Source organism: Homo sapiens, chromosome 3 (assembly GCF_000001405.40).
Source record: "Homo sapiens chromosome 3, GRCh38.p14 Primary Assembly".
NCBI classification, from domain to species: domain Eukaryota; kingdom Metazoa; phylum Chordata; class Mammalia; order Primates; family Hominidae; genus Homo; species Homo sapiens.
Window position 1 is genome coordinate 61,372,659 of NC_000003.12, and position 23,101 is coordinate 61,395,759.

At 39.3% G+C, this 23,101-nt stretch overlaps 1 long non-coding RNA gene across 2 annotated transcripts in view, besides 1 other annotated feature; it reads right to left on the minus strand.

Annotated features, from left to right (window-relative positions):
• LOC105377114 (uncharacterized) overlaps window positions 1-23,101 on the minus strand; it is a 144,240-nt gene that overhangs the window by 88,183 nt on the left and 32,956 nt on the right. The gene's annotated exons all lie outside the window — the stretch shown is intronic.
• Window positions 9,196-9,265: a silencer, noted in NCBI's record as "silent region_14495". NCBI's record gives its function as "represses an Ori minimal core promoter by ATAC-STARR-seq in GM12878 lymphoblastoid cells {active_cell/tissue: GM12878}" and the evidence as "EXISTENCE:reporter gene assay evidence [ECO:0000049][PMID:35858748]".

The following is a 23,101-nucleotide window of genomic DNA, read 5'->3' on the forward strand; positions in this document are numbered from 1 at the left end:
ACTTCAGAATCCAACACAGAGTTGGCTCAGATACACTTTCGTGACAGCAGTGTGACTTTTTTGAAAACTTCAACCCCTAGTTGAGGTAAGGGATATACTAACAAGTGTTTACTCAATAATCATTTGTTCAATAACATCTGCTGCACATCTCTACCTCCCAGGCACAGTACTAGAAACTGGAGATAGAGGTGGACATGACCAAAGTTCCTGTCCACAAAAAGTTACGGTCTAGTGCTTTTTGAGTAGTAAGTGCATTATAAAAATTTGATGACTAAGTGAATTAGTAAAAAATTATGTCTAAAATATAATATAATCACACCTGAGTGGTAGACCTGTCTTTAAAAATATTTTTCATGTCAATAAAAAGAAACTAAATTGGGAAAATATACTATGATAGGAGATATCTATGAAGATACCTTAGGGAGAAAAGACAGATACAAATCTCTATACACAGTTTTGCTTGTTAATGAGAAATATATACATATATATGTATTTCTTCCATGGAGATATATATATATATATCTCCATGGAAGAAAAAATAAGTCTATAATGAAGCAATCCAAAGTGTTAACTCTAATTTTTGTTAGAATTAGAAAGTATTCGTTTTCATATTTCTACTTTTCTATTTTTTTCAATTCTTCTGTACTAAACACACATTCTATATATAGGAGGAAATTTTATTTTTAGTAGAGAAAAAAATCACTATGGTAATTCCGCACATAGTAATAGAACTAGAATGAAGAGATCTTCAGAAAACATACCAGACTGACAAGCTAACCTCATTTCTATCAACTTTTCCTCGGTATCACAAGACAACTTTATTTTTGGTTCTCAAACCTTATATCTGAGCGGTGTGGGAGTTGCTAATGTACAGAAAAGAAACCAGCAACTCTGGCTCTGGAAGAAAACAGAAGAAACCTTTACAGCAGCACAATCCAGGAAACAATAAGGAACTTGTTTAAGGCAGCATACACCTGGCGCAGCAGATCCCTTAAAATCACACAAGCCTGGAAATGTTGTTAAATGGCCTCTTGTTATTTTTATTTCATAAGTTCCTGAACTCACGAAATTTCTAATAGTACATTTCATATTTAGTTTCTATTAAAGGAAGTTTTCATTCAACATAAATGGTAAGTATCATAGAAGAAACAGACAATAGCAGTTACAATAATAGCTAATGACTTTTATATGCTTACTATGTTCCAGGCACTGTACTATCCATCGCGCATGCAATTATTTCATGTAAAGGGGATTCTGAGCCCCATGAAATAAGTCCCATTCTTATTATACTTAAGGAGGAGGAAACTGAAGAGAGATGATAAGGAACTCACCGAAGATCCTAATGCTCAGTAGAAGAGCTGGCCTCAAACCCAAGTCTGACTGCACTTCACATCCCTAATGACTCAGCTTCTTAATTATTTACTGTTGTTTTTCTGTCCCTGTACCAAGAAATTTTCAAATTTTCAATATTGTTTCTAAAAACTGAGAGGGGAGAAAATGCAAAGTTTAAGCTTTAACAACCTCTATTTACCCCTTTCCCATCTTCCTTTCATTTTTTTAAAGAAAGTAAGGCTTTGGAGAAGGAAACATCCTAATAACTTCATTAAGGCTGAAAGAATCAGCCGTTACATATTATTTGATTGTTTTCACATCGTTTTTTGTCTTCTATCTTTTACTGAAGAAACACATGCCACATCATATTTGGTATTTCAACCAGTCTCAAGGGGTTTGATACAGAGAACAGCGTAGGCAGAATAATGGTCCCTCTGATTAATGTATTGCTTCAACTTAATATTTAGAATGTAGTGGAAACAATCAATAGGCACATACTCTTCTTGGGAGTTACAAATGTTTATTTAAACAAACTCAATGTTTCCTTTGTGTATACTGCACTCAACAGCTTGAAAATGGTTAGAAAACATCTACACTCTTGAAAATCTCAGGTAAAATGCTAGTGAATGGGAGAGGAATTGTGTGCGACAACAACAGCATGTACACACTTAAGGAGCATTATTCTCTTCTATTATTTGATACTTGAGTAAACTTGGTACTTGCTAAGTTGGGTTTGGACAAAATGTCCCACTCCTATTCAAAATCATGACAGCAAAACCGAAGCGGTTTTTCTCAACCTTCAGAGCCCTTAAGAAACATGGAGACTCATAAGCTCCAACTTCAGAAACTCCAGCTGCACTGGGCACCTGGGAATGAATACTTGACAAGCTTCCCCTGCTATTTGGATGCAGGTGGCATAATTCATACTTCAAGAAATACTGCTGTGAATAGGAGTGAATAAAAGCATGGGCTATAGAGTTGGCCATATCTATATTTAAATAATGGACCCTCCACTCACGGACATGGTGTCCTGAGTTGAACAACATAATCTCTCTAAGCCTCAGCTTCTATATCCATGAAATAGGAGGATAACAAGAGTATCTTGCAGAGTTGTGAGAGTGTGTGTGTGTGTGTGTGTGTGTGTGTGTGTGTGTGTGTGTGTGGAGAGAGAGAGAGAGAGGGGGAAAGAGAGAGAATGTTTGAATATATATATAATTACTATTTGAAAAGAGGAATCCTGTAGGCTCTAAAACCCTTGCTGGCTTGCTCTATTTCTCAGTCTTCTCTCAAGGATATTGATTCACCTTTGCATTTTTCTCTTAGTTAATCTTCCATGAGTATTAATTGTAGTTTGCTTTGATCATGAAGTCCCAAAATTTGTAAAAGCCTTATTAGGCATTCAAACAGTTCCTTCTACATTTCAAAATATTAGAACATCAGGAGAGTCTACTGCCTAATTTGGCCTTAGTTTGTACAATAATTGTAACTGGTCTCCTCGGATCTGTTCATGCAGAGCATAAATCCCTAAGAATGGAAGACCAATTAATTAGTTATTAAAGTATAGTGCAGATGTTTTCTAATAAGAGCATTCTATATATCTATTGATTTTTAAAGGATGCACACACACACAAGTGGACACTAAAATCTTTCTATTGCCAGGCGCCGTGGCTCACGCCTGTAATCCCAACAGTTTAGGAGGTCTAGGCAGGGGGATCACTTGAAGTCAGGAGTTCAAAACCAGCCTGGCTAACATGGTGAAACCCCGTCTCTACTAAAAATACAAAAATTAGCCAGGTGTGGTGGTGCACGCCTGTACTCAGGAGTCAGCCTGAGAATCACTTAAACCCACAAGGAGAAGGTTGCAGTGAGCTGAGATCGCATCACTGCACTCCAGCCTGGTCGTGACAAAGCAAGACTCTGTCTCAAAAATATGTAAATAAAATAAAATAAAATAAAATCTTTCTATTATGTTAGAACAATACATTAGTTGGAATTTCAGTTTCTACAACTTATAGAACTTTTACAAAAACATTATGCTATAGGCTGGGTGCAGTGGCTCACGCCTATAATCCCAGCACTTTGGGAGGCCGAGGTGGGTGGATCTCTTGAGCCCAGGAGTTCAAGACCATCATGGACAACATGGCGAAACCCCATCTTTACTAAAAATACAGAAAAAAATAGCCAGGCATGGTGGTGCTGGCCTGTAATCCCAGCTACTCGGAAGGCTGAGACATGAGAATCACTCGAACCCAGGAGGTGGAGGTTGCAGTAAGCCGAGATTGCACCGCTGCACTCCTGCCTGGGTGATAGAGCAAGACTCTGTCCCCCACTCAAAAAATATGCTATAGTTTGTATCAATACTATAAAGCTGAGTGAAAACATGTTTTAATTTGAAATTCAGGTTTCCAGGGCATTTGTGGGTTTGACTTTTTTATTAATATGTAATAGTCATACAGTTAAGCACCTAAATCCTAAGGGCTTAATGAATCTTGGCAAAGTGGGCACACTCCTGTAACCACAAATGATATCAAGATATAGAACACCACCAGCACCACAGAAGGCTCCCTGTTGCCCCTCCTGGTCATTACCTCCTCAACAAGTAACCACTGTTCTGACCTTCATCACTGTTGGTTAATTTTATTTACTTCCAAATAAATTGGATCATGAAGAATGTACTTCTTTTCTTTCTAGATGTTCCCCTCAACATTATGTCTGTAAGATTCATCCATAATTTTGTTTGTACAGTAGTTGCTTTTTAAAAAGTTAATTTATAATATTCTATTGTATGCCAATGTCACAAATTATTTACCCATCTAGGGACATTTGGGTTGTTTCAGTTTGGGGCTATTAAGAGTAAAGTGATACTGAACATTCTTGTCCAGTTTTTTGTTGCTGTTGATTTTTTTTTTTTTTTGAGACAGTCTTGCTCTGTTGCCCAGCCTGGAGTGCAGTGGCACGAACTCAGCTCACTGGAACCTCTGCCTCCTGGGTTCAAGTGATTCTAGTGCCTCAGCCTAGAGGCTGAGTTTACAGGCGTGCACCACCACTGCCTGGCTAATTTTTTGTTTTAGTAGAGACGAGGTTTCACTATGTTGCCCAGGCTGGTCTCGAACTTCAGAGCTCAATCTGCCCACCTCAGCTTCCCAAAGTGCTGGGATTACAGGCATAAGCCACCACACCTGGCTCTTGTCCACATTTTTTAGCACATGTGTACTTAGATCAGGATTTCTGGATGATAGTGTAGGCATTATGTTTAGCTTTAGTTAACACTGCCAAGGAAAATTTTAATACAATGATCTTGTAAATTTACACTCCCACCAGTGGTGTATGAGTTCCAGTCATTCAACATCCTCAACAATCTTGGTATTCTGTCTTTTTCACATAAGCCATGATGGAGGATGTGTGGTCATGATGCATTGAGGCTTTAATTTGCATTTTTTGGCTGGGTGTGGTGGCTCACGCCTGTAATCCCAGCACTTTGGGAGGCAGGGGTGGGTGGATCACCTGAAGTCAGTAGTTCAAGACCAGCCTGGCCAACATGGTGAAACCTTGTCTCTACTAAAATACAAAAATTAGCCAGGTGTGGTGGCATGCACCTGTAATCCCAGCTACTCAGGAGGCTGAGGCAGGAGAATCACTTGAACCCGGGATGGGGAGGTTGCAGTGAGCTGAGATCGTGCCACTGCACTCCAGCCTGGGCAACAGAATGAGACTCCATTAAAATAAAAATAAAAATAAAATAAACAATTTTTAAAAATTGCATTTTTCTCATATTTAATGAAGGTGACCATCTTTTATTTATCTGTATTGGGCATCTGAATATTACATTTTTTACGTCATTCTCAAGATTTTGCCCACTTTTCTAGAGTTATCACCTTTTCCTTTTATTTCTCATAAACTTTTTGGAAGAAATAATTTTAGATGTACGGAAAAATTGTAAAGATAGTACAAGGCATTCCTATATATCCCTCAGTCACTTTCAGTTAATTTTAACATTTTACATTATCACAGTACATGTGTTAAAACTTAGAAACCCACATAGGTACTAAACACTCAATACTACTATACTAAACTTCAGGCTTGATTTGGACTTCTGCAGTTTTTCCACTATAATGTCCTTTCTTCTTCCATATATCAAACCAGATTACCACATTGTTTTCTATTTATCTCATCTCTTTTTTGTTCCTTTTTTCTCCTGTCTTGCATTCTATTTTATTAATCAAGTAATTATTTTATCATTACATTTTCTCCTTTTTATTACATTATTAGTCATACTTTCTTTTTTGTTCATTTAGTAACATACATCCAGTTATCAATCTACCTTAGATCAGAAAATGTACCACTTCCCAGATAATGCAAGAATCAACTCCATTCACTCCCTTCCTGCCTTCCATGCTGTTGTTGTCATGGGTTTTAATTCTACATATAGTTTCAAACCACTAGACATTATTATTGTTATTTTTAAAGAGTCAGTGTTTATTTAAACTTACCCACATATTTGTCTTTCCCATTGCTCTTCACTTCTTCCTGCATTTCTACGCTTCCATCTAAGACCATTAACTTCCTGATGAATAACTCCCCTTGTGCTTAATTTTAACATGCATTTTCTGGCAACAATTTCTCTTCTGTTTTACTTGGATATGAAAGTGAGTTTATTTCCTCTTCATTTGTTTATTTCTTCATTTGATATATTTCTTCATTTAAGGATATTCAAATGAATATTTTCATTTCATTTTCATGTATCTGTTTCATCCTTCATTGAAGGATATTTCTTTTGAAAGGAAAACTGTCAGTTTATTGTAACTCTTTTAAAGATGATTTGTCTTGTTTTCTCTAAATATGACTCAGATTTTCTACTTATGAGTTTTTAGCTCTATTTGCCGTGATATTTTGTATTTATTCTGTTTGGGGTTTGTAGACTTTCATGAACCTGCAGTTTGAGATCCTTCACTTGTTTTTGAAATTATTTGACCAGCATATCTTCAAATATTTCTTCTCCTCCATTTCCCTCTCCTCCCCTTCTGGAGCTTCAAATAAACATATATTCAACACTTGTGCCAATTTTTATATGTACCCTATGCTACTATCTAGATTTTCCATTAATTTTCCTTCTCTGCACTTCAAACTTAACATTTTCTACTTATCTACTTTCAGCTTACTAATTCTCTATTCTGTTCTCTAATCTGCAGTTAAACTCATTTTTTTACTTCTTAATCCTCTCAGCTCTAGAATTTCCATTTGACTATGCTTTTATAGATTCTAATTTTCTAGTGATAGTCTCTATTTTTAGAATCTACTTTTTAAATCTATTAATTATAGTTAGTTAAATAACCTCAATATCCACATCACCTGTAGACCTATTGCTGATTTTTTTTCCTTTTAGCTTTTGTCATTTGGTCAAGTTCCCTGGCAAACCTGATAATTTTAGATTGAAGGCTGACATTACACATGAATGATTGTAGAGACTCTGGATGATATTATATTTCTCCAGAGAAGATTTTATTTTCTTCTGCCTAAAAGGCAGGAAATCCTGATCCAATCAGAGACTGAAATAATTGGAGACTATTTTTAAGACTTTGTGAGGGCTGATCTATTACTGATTTATCCCTATCATCAGTCATAACACTTCAGAGGTCTCATTTAAAAGCCTGGGGAATTTACTGAGATCCTTGGCAGGTTCTAAATTATAATTTTTGTTTCTCCCCAGCACTGTGAGACTGCCAAGAGCTCTGATTAGTTTTTTAGCTAAAAGGCAACTACTTTTTTTTTCTGGGTTTCTTAGCCTCTCGCTCCACACATGCCCAGTTTAAGAATTCGCTAACGACTTGAAGGGAAATGGTATAGCAAAAGCTAGGATCACTTCTCTGAAGTTCCCATTTCTTCAGGATTTTGATGCCCTTAAGTTCTGGGTACTTAACTAGCCCTGAAGTTCAATTTTGGTCTCATCTTAGTGATACTGCTGCAAACTCTAGACCTCTGATTTCTCTTCAGCCTCTATGTCCCACAAGGCAAATTAGCAAAGATTCTAAGGGCAAAAGCATTAGCAAATTCAGGACTCGCCCTCTGTTTTTCCTTTTTCTTTGAGATCCTGGCCTCTCAACTTTCAGTTACCTTGGTTATTGTCTGATGGCTTCAAACAGCTTTTATTTTGTATTTTACTGAGATTTTATATTTGGTCTCAGTGGAGGGTCTGTCTAATTCTAGGGAATTTGGATTAAATTTATCCTACTACTTTCTTAGCCAATAAGGAAGTTGAAATCAACCTTCAAATAAGGCAATATTCTGTCCCAGTTTGCCTGGGGTGGTTCTGAGTTATATCTCTTATCCCAAAATAATTACTAATTATAACTGGTGCCCCCTTTCACTCTCAAAAGTGTCCAGTATGTGCAATAAATTACGTGATTTTCCACCTCTAAAGATGATTGCACCTTCTCCCTGCTTCGATTAAAATAACTATTAAATAATTACTTAATTTGTAAAACTGAAGAATGTTATATAACTAACCAATAAAAGAAAACAGGGTTTCATTTATATTACCTGTGAATGCTTTAGAACTAGTATTTCTTGTATGTACTTGAATATTATCTGGCACATCATTCTGAATCCAACGAAACTTTTCAATTTTTAAAGATCAAGGATATTTTCACAGTGTCAAGTAGATAATCAATTCCAATGTTGAAAAACTCATCATATCACGTATGCAAACATGAATACACATATCAGTATAATATGCCCACTCACAAAAGTCACCTATTTTTCTACATGTATAATTTTCATAGCATCTTAGGACTAGAAGAAATCTTAAAGATGATTGAACTCAGCCAACATATATATATATAAAATAATTATATATATTATATATACAATCTTCTACAGATAAAGACACTGAGGTCCCACAATTTCAGCTTAGGGTGACCTAAGTAATTCATCCAACATCACAGCTAGACAGTTATCACAGCTAGATCCTAAACTGTCTTGAGCCCCAGTCCACTACAATTCCCTCACTACATACCGCCCAACCCAGATTTTTCCGATTGGTAAACTCCTCCTGCTTCTACAATAACAAACACTTCCTGTTTCTATATTCTAGTACACAACAATAAAAGGATTTGAGAAACTTTTCCTACTAGGATATAAAAGGCAAGATATCTCCTTCTCTGAATTTCATAATCTTTTATGTTTTTATTCATTAAACTTTTGCTGGAATACCCATTGGGTAGCCCCCAAGGATTTGGAGATGCAGGTGGTTCATTAAGATTCTTTGTTTATTTCAACTGGAAGAATTTACAGACTACATGATTTATTAGGTCGCTGTAGTAGATACATCTGGTGCCCTGAGTCACATCTACCCAGCCTTATATCTGATTTTAACCAGGTTGGAATAGATAATTGAATGCATTCTCAGATCTGCTTCACCTGATGACGTCTTATCTCTAGGCCACACTGAGAATCTTTACTTTCTGCCCCATGGCCATGTTGGATTCCAGCAGGAGTTTTTTGGCTTATACATATGTGCAGCGAAAGAACAGGGAGCAACCTTAACCAATGGACAGGAGCTAATGAATAAGCACTCTTGCCGCCCCACAATTGTGTGGACAATTCTGGGAGGCATCCTTCATGCTTCTTAGGATGCTCCTGTAGAATTAAGCCCTGTTGCCCACAGCAGTAGTCTTGAAACATTATCCTCATGTTTCTCCATTTCTTCCTTTCCAGTCTTGTTCTTCTTGCTCCCTTATTCCTATCCTCAAAATCATTTTATGTGGTTTGGAGATCATTTTATGTGTTTTATGTGGTTTGGAGGAACCCAAACCACATAAAACTCAAACACTAAACTCTCCTATTTACGAAATGTCCCTATGTCAAAGCCCTCTCATCTTCATTTTCATACGTGGAGGCTACACCTCCTTAGCTCCTATTTCTATGGCATGTCTGCCCAGACAATAAAGCACAACTATGATGAATGTGTTCTATTATAGTGCCATCTAGTGGCAAGGATGAATCAAAGCTCACGGCATCTAAGTGACCAAGGTATAAGTATTAAACTTCAGCACTGGTAATTTCACATTACATGAGATAGATAGATGCATTCAGGAGCAGACAGACTTACCACAATTCCATTGAAGGTCAAAAAGATAAATGTTTGTGACAGGATATTAAAATGTTGGGATAATTTTATGATACGTAGGTAACACAAGCTAAGACAATGATAAAGATAATCAAATTTCATGCATGGAAAGGCAAAAGCTAATCACCGACAAGGTCAGGTAGAGCTTTACCTCTGTGTTTTAATTTAGCTGAGCATACAGCCATATTAAACACACAAAGTTGGTTCTCACAGTACAGAAATCCGCCCCACAGTCCGGAGTAAAGAGATCTCAGAATAGAAAACATGAGTATTAACATGAAATAATAAGAGCAGCTATCATTTAATGAGTACTTATTATGTTCCAGGCGCTTTACTAAGCATTTTATCCATGTAATCTCACTTAATTTTCACAACAACCCTATGAGGTGGGTACGACTGTTATCCTCATTTTTCAGACAAAGAAAGAAAGACTTAGAAAAAATACTAAAGTTCCCAATGTCACACACCCAGTAAAGAACAGAAAAAACATTCAAATGTAGGTTTATTTGGCTAAAAAGTCTGTTCTCTTATCCATTTCATATTACATGCTGCATCATCAATCATGACTAATTCTATGCCAAGTATGTTGTTAGTGATCAGTGTTATCTATAAGGACCTTCCATTTTGGAGACAGAGTGCTGAAAACAGTCATGGCCAAATGCCTTGCCTCAGGTCATCTAGAAATCTGTGGCCTGCCTCAATTACGACTTCTTCTTGCTCACTGTACCCTAGTCAAAACATATAGTCTTCCTCTTGACTGACTTCTGCCAGCAATTAATTTATATCCTCAAGCAAAAGATCTGATTGCCTTATCTTAGACTGTATAAATGAAAATGCTATTATAAGATTTTCTACAGAAGTATTAAAACTATCTATTCCAGAGAATTAAACTCTGTGCTATCTTCCGACAGTGAGTTCAGCCAAGTTTTGGGTGATTCAGAACCCAATGGTCATCATATATGTTCCTAGCAGTTCATACCAACACAAGAGATGGATTTACCATCGCAGGGCAGAGGAGCCTGTCATAAGAGATAGAATCTCCCCAGATACGAACATGTCCCTCTTCTTAATAAAGAGGAAGGCCGGCCGGGCACGGTGGCTCATACCTGTAATCCTAGCACTTTGGGAGGCTGAGGCAGGCGGATCACGAGGTCAGGAGATTGAGACCATCCTGGCTAACACGGTGAAACCCTGTCTCCACTAAAAAAAAAAATACAAAAGATTAGCCAGGCATGGTGGCGGGCACCTGTAGTCCCAGCTACTCGGGAGGCTGAGGCAGGAGAATGGCGTGAACCTGGGAGGCGGAGTTTGCAGTGAGCCAAGATCGCGCCACTGCACTCCAGCCTGGGCAACAGAGCAAGATTCCGTCTCAACAAAAAAAAAAGAAAGAAAGAAAGAAAAAAGAAAAGAAAAAAAAAGAAAGAAAGAAGTCCAAATCTACGCATCTGACGAATGGCTAATATCCAGAATCTACAAAGAACTTAAACAAATTTACAAGAAAAAGACAACCCCATCAAAAAGTGGGCAAAAGACATGAACAGACATTCCTCAAAAGAAGACATTTATGCAGCCCACAGACACATGAAAAAATGTTCATCATCCCTGGTCATAAGAGAAATGCAAATCAAAACCACAATGAGATACCATCTCATGCCAGTAAGAATGGCGATCATTAAAAAGTCAGGAAACAACAGATGCTGGAGACGATGTGGAGAAATAGGAATGCTTTTAATCATTGTGGAAGACAGTGTGGCGATTCCTCTAGGATCTAGAACTAGAAATACCATTTGACCCAGCCATCCCATTACTGGGTATATACCTAAAGGATTATAAATCATGCTACTATAAAGACACATGCACATGTATGTTTAATGTGGCACTATTCACAATAGCAAAGACTTGGAACCAACCCAAATGTCCATCTATGATAGACTGGATTAAGAAAATGTGGGACATACACACCATGGAATACTATGCAGCCATAAAAAATGATGAGTTCATGTCCTTTGTAGGGACATGGATGAAGCTGGAAACCATCATTCTCAGCAAACTATCACAAGGACAGAAAACCAAACACCACGTGTTCTCACTCATAGGTGGGAATTGAACAATGAGAACACTTGGACACAGGGCAGGGAACATCACACACCGGGGCCTGTCAATGGGTGGGGAGCTGGAGGAGGAATAGCATTAGGAGAAATACCTAATGTAAATGACGAGTTGATGGGTGCAGCAAACCAACATGGCACATGTATACCTATGTAACAAACCCGCACATTGTGTACATGTACCCTAGAACTTAAAGTATAACAAAAGAAAGAAAGAAAGAAAGAAAGAAAGAAAGAAAGAAAGAAAGAAAGAAAGAAAGAAAGAAGGAAAAAGAAAGAAAGCAAGCAAGCCAGGCACAGTGGTTCACACCTGCAATCCCAGCACTTTGGGAGGCCAAGGTGGGCGGATAACCTGAGGTCGTGAGTTCGAGACCAGCCTGACCAACATGGAGAAACCCCATCTCTACTAAAAATACAAAATTAGCCAGGCATGGTGGCGCATGCCTGTAACCCCAGCTACTCGGGAGGCTGAGGCAGGAGAATCACTTGAACCTGGGAGGCGGAGGTTGCAGTGAGCCAAGATCGCACCATTGCACTCCAGCCTGGGCAATAAGAGCGAAACTCCGTCTCAAAAAAAAAAAAAGAAAAAGAAAAAAAGAAAGAAGAAAAAAAAGCTTCTAGATCCTGTTGAACAACCATTAGCACAATCTTGGATGAAATATGTAATCTTTCTGAGAATTAGTTTTTCATCTTTGATAAGAAAAACGAAACTAACTTCACAGACTGGTGGTGAGGATTCATCTACACAAATAGCCGAGAATAATACATCATACATAGTAATGCTTGAATGTTTTCTCTCTTCTTATATTTTTTCTTTGTTTCATAAAGAATTTGAAGTTACTTATAAAAATAATTTCACAAAATGTTACCTATCTTCCTCCTTCCTCTGGTCCAATAAAGACAAATTTTTGCAGCAAGTTGAACACTGGAGACCTATAGGGCTCCAGAAATAAATACTTTTGAAATATCTGGGCTTGCCAATAGAGGACAATTTAGCAATATCTAACAACTTACAAATGCAAATGCTGCTTGATCTAGCAATTTCACCTGTGGGAATTTATCCTAGAGATAATTGATTTATGTATAAGCCTATTCATTGCAGCATTAATTTTAATAGGAAAAGATTTTTTAAAATCTAAATGTCCATCAGTATAGGATTGGTTATATAAATTATGGTTCATGGTATTCCATATAAGGAAATAATATGCAGCTTGAAAAAATTCCTGGATATATTTCTAAGTGAGAAAAGCACAGTACAGAATATTATGTATGATATACTACCATTATATGGAAAAGGGGGAGTAAATGAGTATACATTTATATTTGCTTGTACACATGCATAAAGAAACTCTAGAAAGACACCCCAAAAATGTGTGTTTTCTGGTGGGCAGGGGGAAAACTGGATCCGTGGGTGACAAGGGTAGAAAGGAGGTTTTTACTCTATTTCACTTTTTGTTAAGCCAATGCAAAAATTGAAGAAAATAGTTGAATTTTTCAAATGTTTAACTTGGCTTTTATCTAAGTTAAAAATGAGATAAGAAGAGCATGAAGTATGCCATCTTATTCCACATAGCTTCTAATAGACAAATAGAGGTACTGAGTCGTAAACTACTAGATTTTTTCCATGTAAAGATCATCATCACATCCTGGAAGCAGAGAGCTATCCATATCTATAACTATTTCCACTATTTCTATTTTGATCACTATTTGATTTTTCTGATGCTCTTCCAATAAGAGAATAATACAGTAGCTATTCATAGGTCGAACATAGTTTCACCAGTGACTTCTAACATAATGCTAACACATGCCACATGCCCTTTCGCTCCTCCTAAGGCAAATGTGTGACCCTTAATTTTGACTATGAATCACATTACTAATTTTTGAAAATATCAAAATCTTACACTTATAATCAAACAGAACTCAGAGAACCACAGGGTAAACACTCTACTTACAGAGTTTTATTTAGTGAGTAATTACTTATTTAAACTCTTCTTTTTCCACTTCATGTGTATCACTCCAGCGAAAGGAAAATTAATTCTTTCTTTTAGAACATTGGAGATGGTCATTCCCTGACTTTTATAAATATACATTCACCAATATGACTTAAAAATGTTAAAAACTGACTTATTGATTTCCCAAATCAAATTTGCTACTATCAAAGTATTCCCCCCGGCAGTACATCTCACTACCATTCACCTAGTTGCTCAGGCCAAAAACCTTGGAGTCAACCTTCATCACAGTCTTTCTCTCACATTCCACATACAATCTGTCAGCAAAATTTGCCAGGTCTTTAATAAAATATTTTTAAAATGGTAAGGATTTGGAAATGAAGCCATATACTTCTAAATAACCCATGGGTCAAAGAAGAAATCTCAATATATATTAGAAAATATTTCAAATCAAAACATAATTAAAATGCATGAAAATTGTGGGATGCAGCTAAAGCAGTGCTAAGGGGGAATTTATAGCTTTAAATGATAATATTAGTAAAGAAGAAAAGTATAAAATCAAACATTTACATTTCCATCTTAAGAATCTAGGAAAAGAGCAAACTAAATACAAAGTAAATAGAAAGAGGGAAATAATAAAGAAACTAATTATATAGAAAAATTAAAAAACAAGTCAGTTCTGTGTAAAAGTTAATCAGATTGATAAATCCCTGACAAGACTGGTCAAAAATAAAGCCCAGAAATTATTGATATCAGGAATAAAAGAAAAGTTACCACAAAATTCCTAAAGACATTAAAAGAATAAAAAGGCAATTTTACTAACAATTTCATGCCTATAAAATTGACAAGTTATATGAAATGAACTATTTTTTTAAAAAACACAATTCATAAAAATTGATTAAAAAAATATAAAAATCTGAATAGCCCAATATCTAATAAAGAAGCTGAATTTGAATCCATAATAAAAAATCTTCCCACAAGGAAAACTCCAGGTCCAGATGATTGTGCTGGTGAATTCTATCAAACATTTAAGGAAGAAATAATAACAATCTTAAACAAACTCAGAAAATAAAAGAGGAGAGAACACTTTGCAACTCATTTTATAATGCCAGTATTAACTCTGATACTAGCCTAGCAAAGATATTACAAAAAGATAAAATCACAGGTGAATATCCCTCATGAGTACAGATGCCAGAATCATCAACAAAATATTAGTAAATTAAATCTAGGAATACAAAAAAAATACATTCTATATTATGACCAAGTGAAGTTTACCTCGGCAATGAAAAGTTCATTCAATATTCAAGTAGCAATCAATTCAATGTAATTCACCATGTTAACATTGAGATAAATCAAATCATCATAATAAATACACAAAAATCATTTGATAAGTAAAGCACTCAGAAAACTACTAGAAGGGAAATTCGTCATTTGATAATGATGTCTAAGAAAAACATACAACTAATATTATACTAATTGTTAATCTATGAAACACTTTATCCCTATGATCAGGCACAAAGCAATAATTCTCACTCTCACCAATCTTATTAAACATACAACTGGATATCCTAGTAAAATAAGGCAAGGAAAAGAAATAAAAAGCATAGAAATTGGAAGAAATAAAATAGTATTTACAGGTAACCACATTGTCTACACTGAAGATCAAAAGCATCTTTAAAAAACAAAAAACTACTAGCATTACTGATGTGGTTTGGATATTTGTCACCTCCAAATCTCATGTTGAAATGTAATCCCCAGTATTGGAGGTGGGACCTGGTAGGAGGTGTTTGGAGCCTCAGGGCAGATCCCTCATGAATGGTTTAGCACCATCCCCTTGGTGATGAGTAAGTTCTCACTGAATTCATGCCAGAGATGGTTGTTCAAAAATGTATGGCACCTCTCCCGCTCTCTTGCTTTCTACATGCCTGCCCCTCCTTCACCTTCTGCCGTGGTTGCAAGCTTCCTGAGGCCCTTGCGAGAAGCCAAGGTGATGCTGATGTCATGCTTGTATAGCCTGCAGAACTGTGAGCCAATTAAACCTCTTTTCTTTATAAATTACTTGGTCTCAGCTGGACACAGTGGCTCACACCTGTAATCACACCACTTTGGGAGGCTGGGGCAGGTGCATCACTTGAGGTCAAGAGTTCAAAACCAGCCTGGCCAACATGGTGAAACCCCATCTCTACTAAAAATACAAAAAATTAGTGGGGCGTGCCTGTAATCCCAGCTACTCGGGAGGCTGAGGCAGAAGTTGCAGTGAGCCGAGATTGCACCACTGCACTCCAGCCTGGGTGACAGAGTGAGACTCTGTTAAAAAACAACAACAACAACAAAAAAAACCTTACTTGGTCCCAGGTATTCCTTTATAGTAATGCAAAAACAGGCTAATACAATTAATAAGTGAATTTAGTAGGACTGCAGGACACAAAGTCAATATACAAAAATTAATTGCATTTATACTAGCAACAAATAATCAGAAAATGAGATTTTGAAATGTTTATAATAACATCAAAAATATACACTGAGGAATTAATTTTGACAAAAAGGAGATTCTTTACACTGAAAACACAACTCAGCTGAGACAAATTAAAGAAAACATAAATAAATGGAGAGACATACCATCTTCAAATGAATCTACAGATTCAGCACAAATCCTATCAAAATCCTATCCAGATTTTTTTCTGTAGAAATTCACACAGTAATTATAAAATGTATTTAGTGCCAGGAGTGGTGGCTCATGCCTGTAATCCCAGCACTTTGGGAAGCCGTGGCAGGTGGATCACTTGAGGCCAGGAGTTCAAGACCAGCCTGGGCAACATGATGAGACCCCCGTCTCTACAAAAAAATGGCCACATGTGGTACACACGCTTGTAATCCCAGCTACTCAGGAGGCTGAGGCACAAGAATTGCTTGAACCCAGGAGACAGGGGTTTCAATGAGCTTAAATCGCCCCACTGCACTCCAGTCTGGGCGACAGAGTGAGACTTCCATCTCAAAAAAATAATAATATAAATGAATAAATAAAATGTATTTGAAATTCAAAAGGGTTTAGAGTAACCAAAACAATCTTTTTAAAAAAGGTAAAAAGAAAGAAAAGCTAAATTGGAAGGCTATATTGACTAATTTTGAGACTTACTATAAAACTACAGTAATTAAGACAAATGTGACAAAATAATTAAATGGGGAAAGAATTTTTTTTTCCAACAAATTTTCCTGGATCAAACATATATTATATGGAAAAAAGAAACAAAACTCAGCTTCTATGTCACATCATACACAAAAATTTACTTGAAATGAATCATAAACTTAAACATAAAACTAAATTCTGATACTCCTACAAGAAAATATAGAATACCTTCACAACCTTGAGGTAGACAAAAATTTCTTAGACAAGACAAAACAGGATTAGTCACAATTTAAAATTAACAAATTGGACTATAATAAAATTTAAAACAACAGCTCTTCAAAAGACCCTGGAAAGAAATTAAAAGGGCAAGCCCCAGACTGAGTGAAAATATCTGAAAAAGACTTGAATAAAGAGTATACAAAGTGGTTGGGTGCAGTGGCTCACACCTGCAATCCCAACATTTTGGGAGGCCAAGGTGAGAGAATTGCTTGAGGACAGAAGTTTGAGACCAGCCTGGGCAACATAGCAAGACACCATCTTTACAAAAAAAAATTAAAAGAAAGAAAGAAATGAAAACTAAACAAAGTGCCACTGAACTGTACACTTAAAAAAATGGTGGAATGGTAAAGGTTATGTCATAGATATTTTACTACAATAGAAAAGGCAAATATAGAAAGAGAAAGAGATGACTAGTTTTGTTCACCACTGTATGCGCAAGGGCTACAGCAATACCTGGAACATGGTAGATACTTTAATTACTTAATTGAATAAATATAAGTTGTGGCCACTCTTATGACTTCAGTTAATCTCTTTGTCTCCTTCTGGCCTTTATATGTATCTCCCTCTGACTAGAAGAGTGGTTCTCAAAGTCTGCAGACCCCTGGTAGTCCATAAGATCAAAAAGATTTTCATAATACTAAGATATCTGCTTTTTCACTGTGCTGACATGGGCACTAATGGTGCAACAGCAGAGGTAGGAAAAGCTATTTGTGCCACAGCATGAATCAAGGCTATGACACCAAGCTGTACTCAAAGTTGTTGTATTCTTCACTGTCATGTAATTCCAGGGTTTTTTTAAATGCCAGTTTGACTTAAGAATGTCTTTGCCGATTGCAGCTACCAAAGAAAAAGAAAAATGAATGTCTTTGCTGAAGGACTATAAATGATTAGTTTTACTAAATCTTGACCCTTGAATACATATCTTCTTAACATTCTGTGTGACAATATGGGAAATACGTATAAAGTATGTATGTTGTGCAACAACATCCAATGGACGTCCCAGGGTGGGAAGCATTTGTGTGGAGGTTTGAGTTGCAAGATGAACTATGTGCTTTTCTCATGGAACAAAATAAAGTATGGTTATTTGGACTTGGGTGTTTGGCAGATATTTTGTTAAAACTTTTCTTTAAAGTGAACAAAATTAGCTCTTCAAAACAACTGACAGTTTCTGTTGCCAGTGGTAGAATTCAAGTGTTCTAGTACTTGAATTTTTGAAAAATCATATTCACTACTGTGAGCTTAACAATTTCCAGTACTTAAAAACTCTTCTGATAAGATTGGGGTTAATGTTTATATATGTGATTTTTTTTATTATTCAATGAAATATGTCAACGTTAGGAAGACCTGCAAAAGTCAAAGATCTACGATTTCCCAAATACTCAATGCACAATGTTGCAAAATTATCTGTAAGTAAAAAAATCCATTCAAAGTGCAAGGCAGATCAATGGATTGTAATTTAACAGCATACTTAATTAATATGTTTCAGATGCCACAGTGATACAAACCCTTAAAAAACTGCCACTTGGGGGTGGAGCCAAGATGGCCGAATAGGAACAGCTCCAGTCTACAGCTCCCAGCATGAGCAACTCAGAAGATGGGTGACTTCTGCATTTCCAACTGAGGTACCGGGTTCATCTCACTGGGGAGTGCCGGACAGTAGGTGGAGGACAGTGGGTGCAGCAAACCATGCATGAGCTGAAGCAGGGCAAGGCATCGCCTCACCCAGGAAGCCCAAGGGGTCAGGGAATTCCCTTTCCTAGTCAAAGAAAGGGGTGACAGACGGCACCTGGAAAATCGGGTCACTCCCACCCTAATACTGCATTTTTGCAACAGGCTTAACAAATGGCACACCAGGAGATTATATCCTGTGCCTTGCTCAGAGAGTCCTACACCCACGGAGCCTCGCTCATTAATAGCACAGCAGTCTGAGATCTAACTGCAAGGCGGCAGCGAGGCTGGAGGAGGGGCGCCTGCCATAGCCGAGGCTTCAGTAGGTAAACAAAGCGGCCGGGAAGCTCAAACTTGGTGGAGCCCACCGCAGCTCAAGGAGGCCTGCCTGCCTCTGTAGTCTCCACCTCTGGGGGCAGGGCACAGACAAACAAAAGGCAGCAAAAACCTCTGCAGACTTAAATGTCCCTGTCTGACAGCTTTGAAGAGAGTAGTTGTTCTCCCAGCAGGCAGCTTGAGATCTGAGAACAGGCAGATTGCCTCCTCAAGTGGGTCCCTGACCCCTGAGTAGCCTAACTGGGAGGCACCCCCAAATAGGGGCTGACTGACACCTCACACGGCCGGGTACTCCTCTGAGACAAAACTTCCAGGGGAATGATCAGGCAGCAGCATTTGCGGTTCACCAATATCCGCTGTTCTGCAGCCACCGCTGCTGATACCCAGGCAAACAGGGTCTGGAGTGGACGTCCAGCAAACTCCAACAGACCTGCAGCTGAGGGTCCTGACTGTTAGAAGGAAAACTAACAAACAGAAAGGACACCCACACCAAAAACCCATCTGTACATCACCATCATCAAAGACCAAAGGTAGATAAAACCACAAAGATGGGGAAAAAACAGAGCAGAAAAATTGGAAACTCTAAAAATCAGAGTGCCTCTCCTCCTCCAAAGGAACGCAGCTCCTCACCAGCAACGGAACAAAGCTGAACGGAGAATGACTTTGACGAGTTGAGAGAAGAAGGCTTCAGATGATCAAACTACTCCGAGCTAAAGGAGGAAGTTTGAACCCATGGCAAAGAAGTTAAAAACCTTAAAAAAAATTAGACAAATGGCTAACTAGAATAACCAATGCAGAGAAGTCCTTAAAGGACTTGATGGAGCTGAAAACCATAGCACCAGAACTACGTGACGAATGCACAAGCCTTAGTAGCTGATGCGATCAACTGGAAGAAAGGGTATCAGCGATGGAAGACGAAATGAATGAAATGAAGTGAGAAGAGACGTTTAGAGAAAAAAGAATAAAAAGAAATGAACAAAGCCTCCAAGAAATGTGGGACTATGTGAAAAGACCAAATATACGTCTGATTGGTGTACCTGAAAGTGATGGGGAGAATGGAACCAGGTTGGAAAACACTCTGCAGGATATTATCCAGGAGAACTTCCCCAATCTAGCAAGGCAGGCCAACATTCAAATTCAGGAAATACAGAGAACGCCACAAAGATACTCCTAGAGAAGGGCAACTCCAAAACACATAATTGTCAGATTCACCAAAGTTGAAATGAAGGAAAAAATGTTAAGGGCAGCCAGAGAGAAAGGTTGCATTACCCAAAAAGAGAAGCCCATCAGACTAACAGCTGATCTCTCGGCAGAAACTGTACAAGCCAGAAGAGAGTGGGGGCCAATATTCAACATTTTTTTTTTTAATTTTTTTAGTATTTATCGATCATTCTTGGGTGTTTCTCGGAGAGGGGGATTTGGCAGGGTCATAGGACAATAGTGGAGGGAAGGTCAGCAGATAAACATGTGAACAAAGGTCTCTGGTTTACCTAGGCAGAGGGCCCTGCCGCCTTCCGCAGTGTTTGTGTCCCTGGGTACTTGAGATTAGGGAGTGGTGATGACTCTTAAGGAGCACGCTGCCTTCAAGCATCTGTTTAACAAAGCACATCTTGCACCGCCTTTAATACATTTAACCCTTAGTGGACACAGCACATGTTTCAGAGAGCACAGGGTTGGGGGTAAGGTTATAGATTAACAGCATCCCAAGGCAGAAGAATTTTTCTTGGTACAGAACAAAATGGAGTCTCCTACGTCTATTTCTTTCTACACAGACACAGTAACAATCTGATCTCTCTTTCTTTTCCCCACATTTCCCCCTTTTCTATTCGACAAAACCACCATCGTCATCATGGCCCGTTCTCAATGAGCTGTTGGGTACACCTCCCAGACAGGGTGGCAGCCGGGCAGAGGGGCTCCTCACTTCCCAGACGGGGCAGCCAGGCAGAGGCGCCCCCCACCACCCAGATGGGGCGGCTGGCTGGGCAGGGGCTGCCCCCCACCTCCTGCACTGGGCGGCTGCCAGGCAGAGGGGCTCCTCACTTCCCAGACGGGGCGGCTGCTGGGCGGAGGGGCTCCTCACTTCTCAGACGGGGCGGCTGGTCAGAGACGCTCCTCACCTCCCAGACGGGGTGGCGGCAGGGCAGAGACACTACTCAGTTCCCAGATGGGGTCACCGCCGGGCAGAGGCGCTCTTCACATCTCAGACAGTGCGGCGGGGCAGAGGCACTCCCCACATCCCAGACCATGGGCAGCCGGGCAGAGACGCTCCTCACTTCCTAGATGGGAGGTGAGCGCCTAGAGGCGCTCCTCATTTCCCAGACTGGGCGGCTGGGCAGAAGGGCTCCTCACATCCCAGAGGATGGGCGGCCAGGCAGAGACTCTCCTCACTTCCTAGACAGGGTGGCAGCCTGGCAGAGGCTGCAATCTCGGCACTTTGGGAGGCCAAGGCAGGCGGCTGGGAGGTGGAGGTTGTAGCGAGCCGAGATCATGCCACTGCACTTCAGCCTGGGCAACATTGAGCACTGAGTGAGCGAGATTCCATCTGCAATCCCGGCACCTCGGGAGGCCGAGGCTGGCAGATCACTTGCGGTCAGGAGCTGGAGACCAGCCCGGCCAACATGGCGAAACCCCATCTCCACCAAAAAATATGAAAACCAGTCAGGCGTGGTGGCGCGCGCCTGCAATCCCAGGCACTCGGCAGGCTGAGGCAGGAGAATCAGGCAGGGAGGTTGCAGTGAGTCGAGATGTCGGCAGTACAGTCCAGCCTCGGCTCCGCATCAGAGGGAGACCGTGCAAAGAGGGAGGGGGAAAAGGAGGGGGAGGGGGAGGGGGAGAGCGAGAGGGAGAGGGAGAGGGAGAGGGCGTCATTCTTTCATGCCTTCTCCAGAGAGTGGCCCCAGGACTTTGCAGCCAGAGGGCTCTTTCTAAAATGCAAATCTCCAGCAGTGAGCCACTGCGCTGGAGTAATTCCAGACCTTTGTAATCCCAGCCCTTTGGGAGGCCGAGGCAAGAGGATCACTTGAGGCCAGGAGTTTCAGACCAGCCTGGCCAACACGGTGAAACCTCGTCTCTGCTACAAATACAAAAATTAGCCGGGCGTACTGGAGCACATCCATAAGTCCAGCTACTCAGGAGGCTAGGCAGGAGAATCGCTTGAACCCAGGAGGTGGAGGTTGCAATGAGCAAGACTGCACCACCGCACTTCAGCCTGGGTGACAGAATGAGACTCCATCTCAAAAATAAAAAATAAAGTAAAAATGCAAATTTCACCAACATCCTAAAGTGGGCTTTCAGTGACTCCTTAAGGTCTCGGGTCCGAGGCCCTTCCCAAGCCTGGACCTCCCAGTCCCCCGAGCCACCCCCAGCAACCAGTGTGCCAGATCTGGTCCTATAGAACCAGAAGTGATTTCCTAAACGCATGGTGGCAGCTGGAACCACTGTCCCCCTTCTGCCTTGACAAGACTCTACATGTCTACACCTTTGTTTCACTTCCTCCCAGAAGCCTTCCTGCAACGTAAACATTCTTAAAGAAAAGAATTTTCAACCCAGAATTTCATATCCAGCCAAACTAAGCTTCATAAGTGAAGGAGAAATAAAATCCTTTACAGACAAGCAAATGCTGAGAGATTTTGTCATCACCAGGCCTGCCCTAAAAGGGCTCCTGAAGGAAGCACTAAACATGGAAAGGAGCAACCGGTACCAGCCACTGCAAAATCATGCCAAATTGCAAACACCATTGATGCTAGGAAGAAACTGCATCAACTAACGAGCAAAATAACCAGCTAATATCATAATGACAGGATCAAATTCACACATAATAATATTAACCTTAAATGTAAATGGGCTAAATTCTCCAATTAAAAGACACAGACTGGCAAATTGGATAAAGAGTCAAGACCCATCAGTGTGCTCAATTCAGGAGACCCATCTCACCTGCAGAGACACACATAGGCTCAAAATAAAGGGATGGAGGAAGAGCTACCAAGCAAATGGAAAACAAAGAAAAGGCAGGGGTTGCAATCCTAGTCTCGGATAAAACAGACTTTAAACCAACAAAGATCAAAAGAGACAAAGAAGGCCATTACATAATGGTAATGGGATCAATTCAACAAGAAGAGCTAACTATCCTAAACATATATGCACCCAATACAGGAGCACCCAGATTCATAAAGCAAGT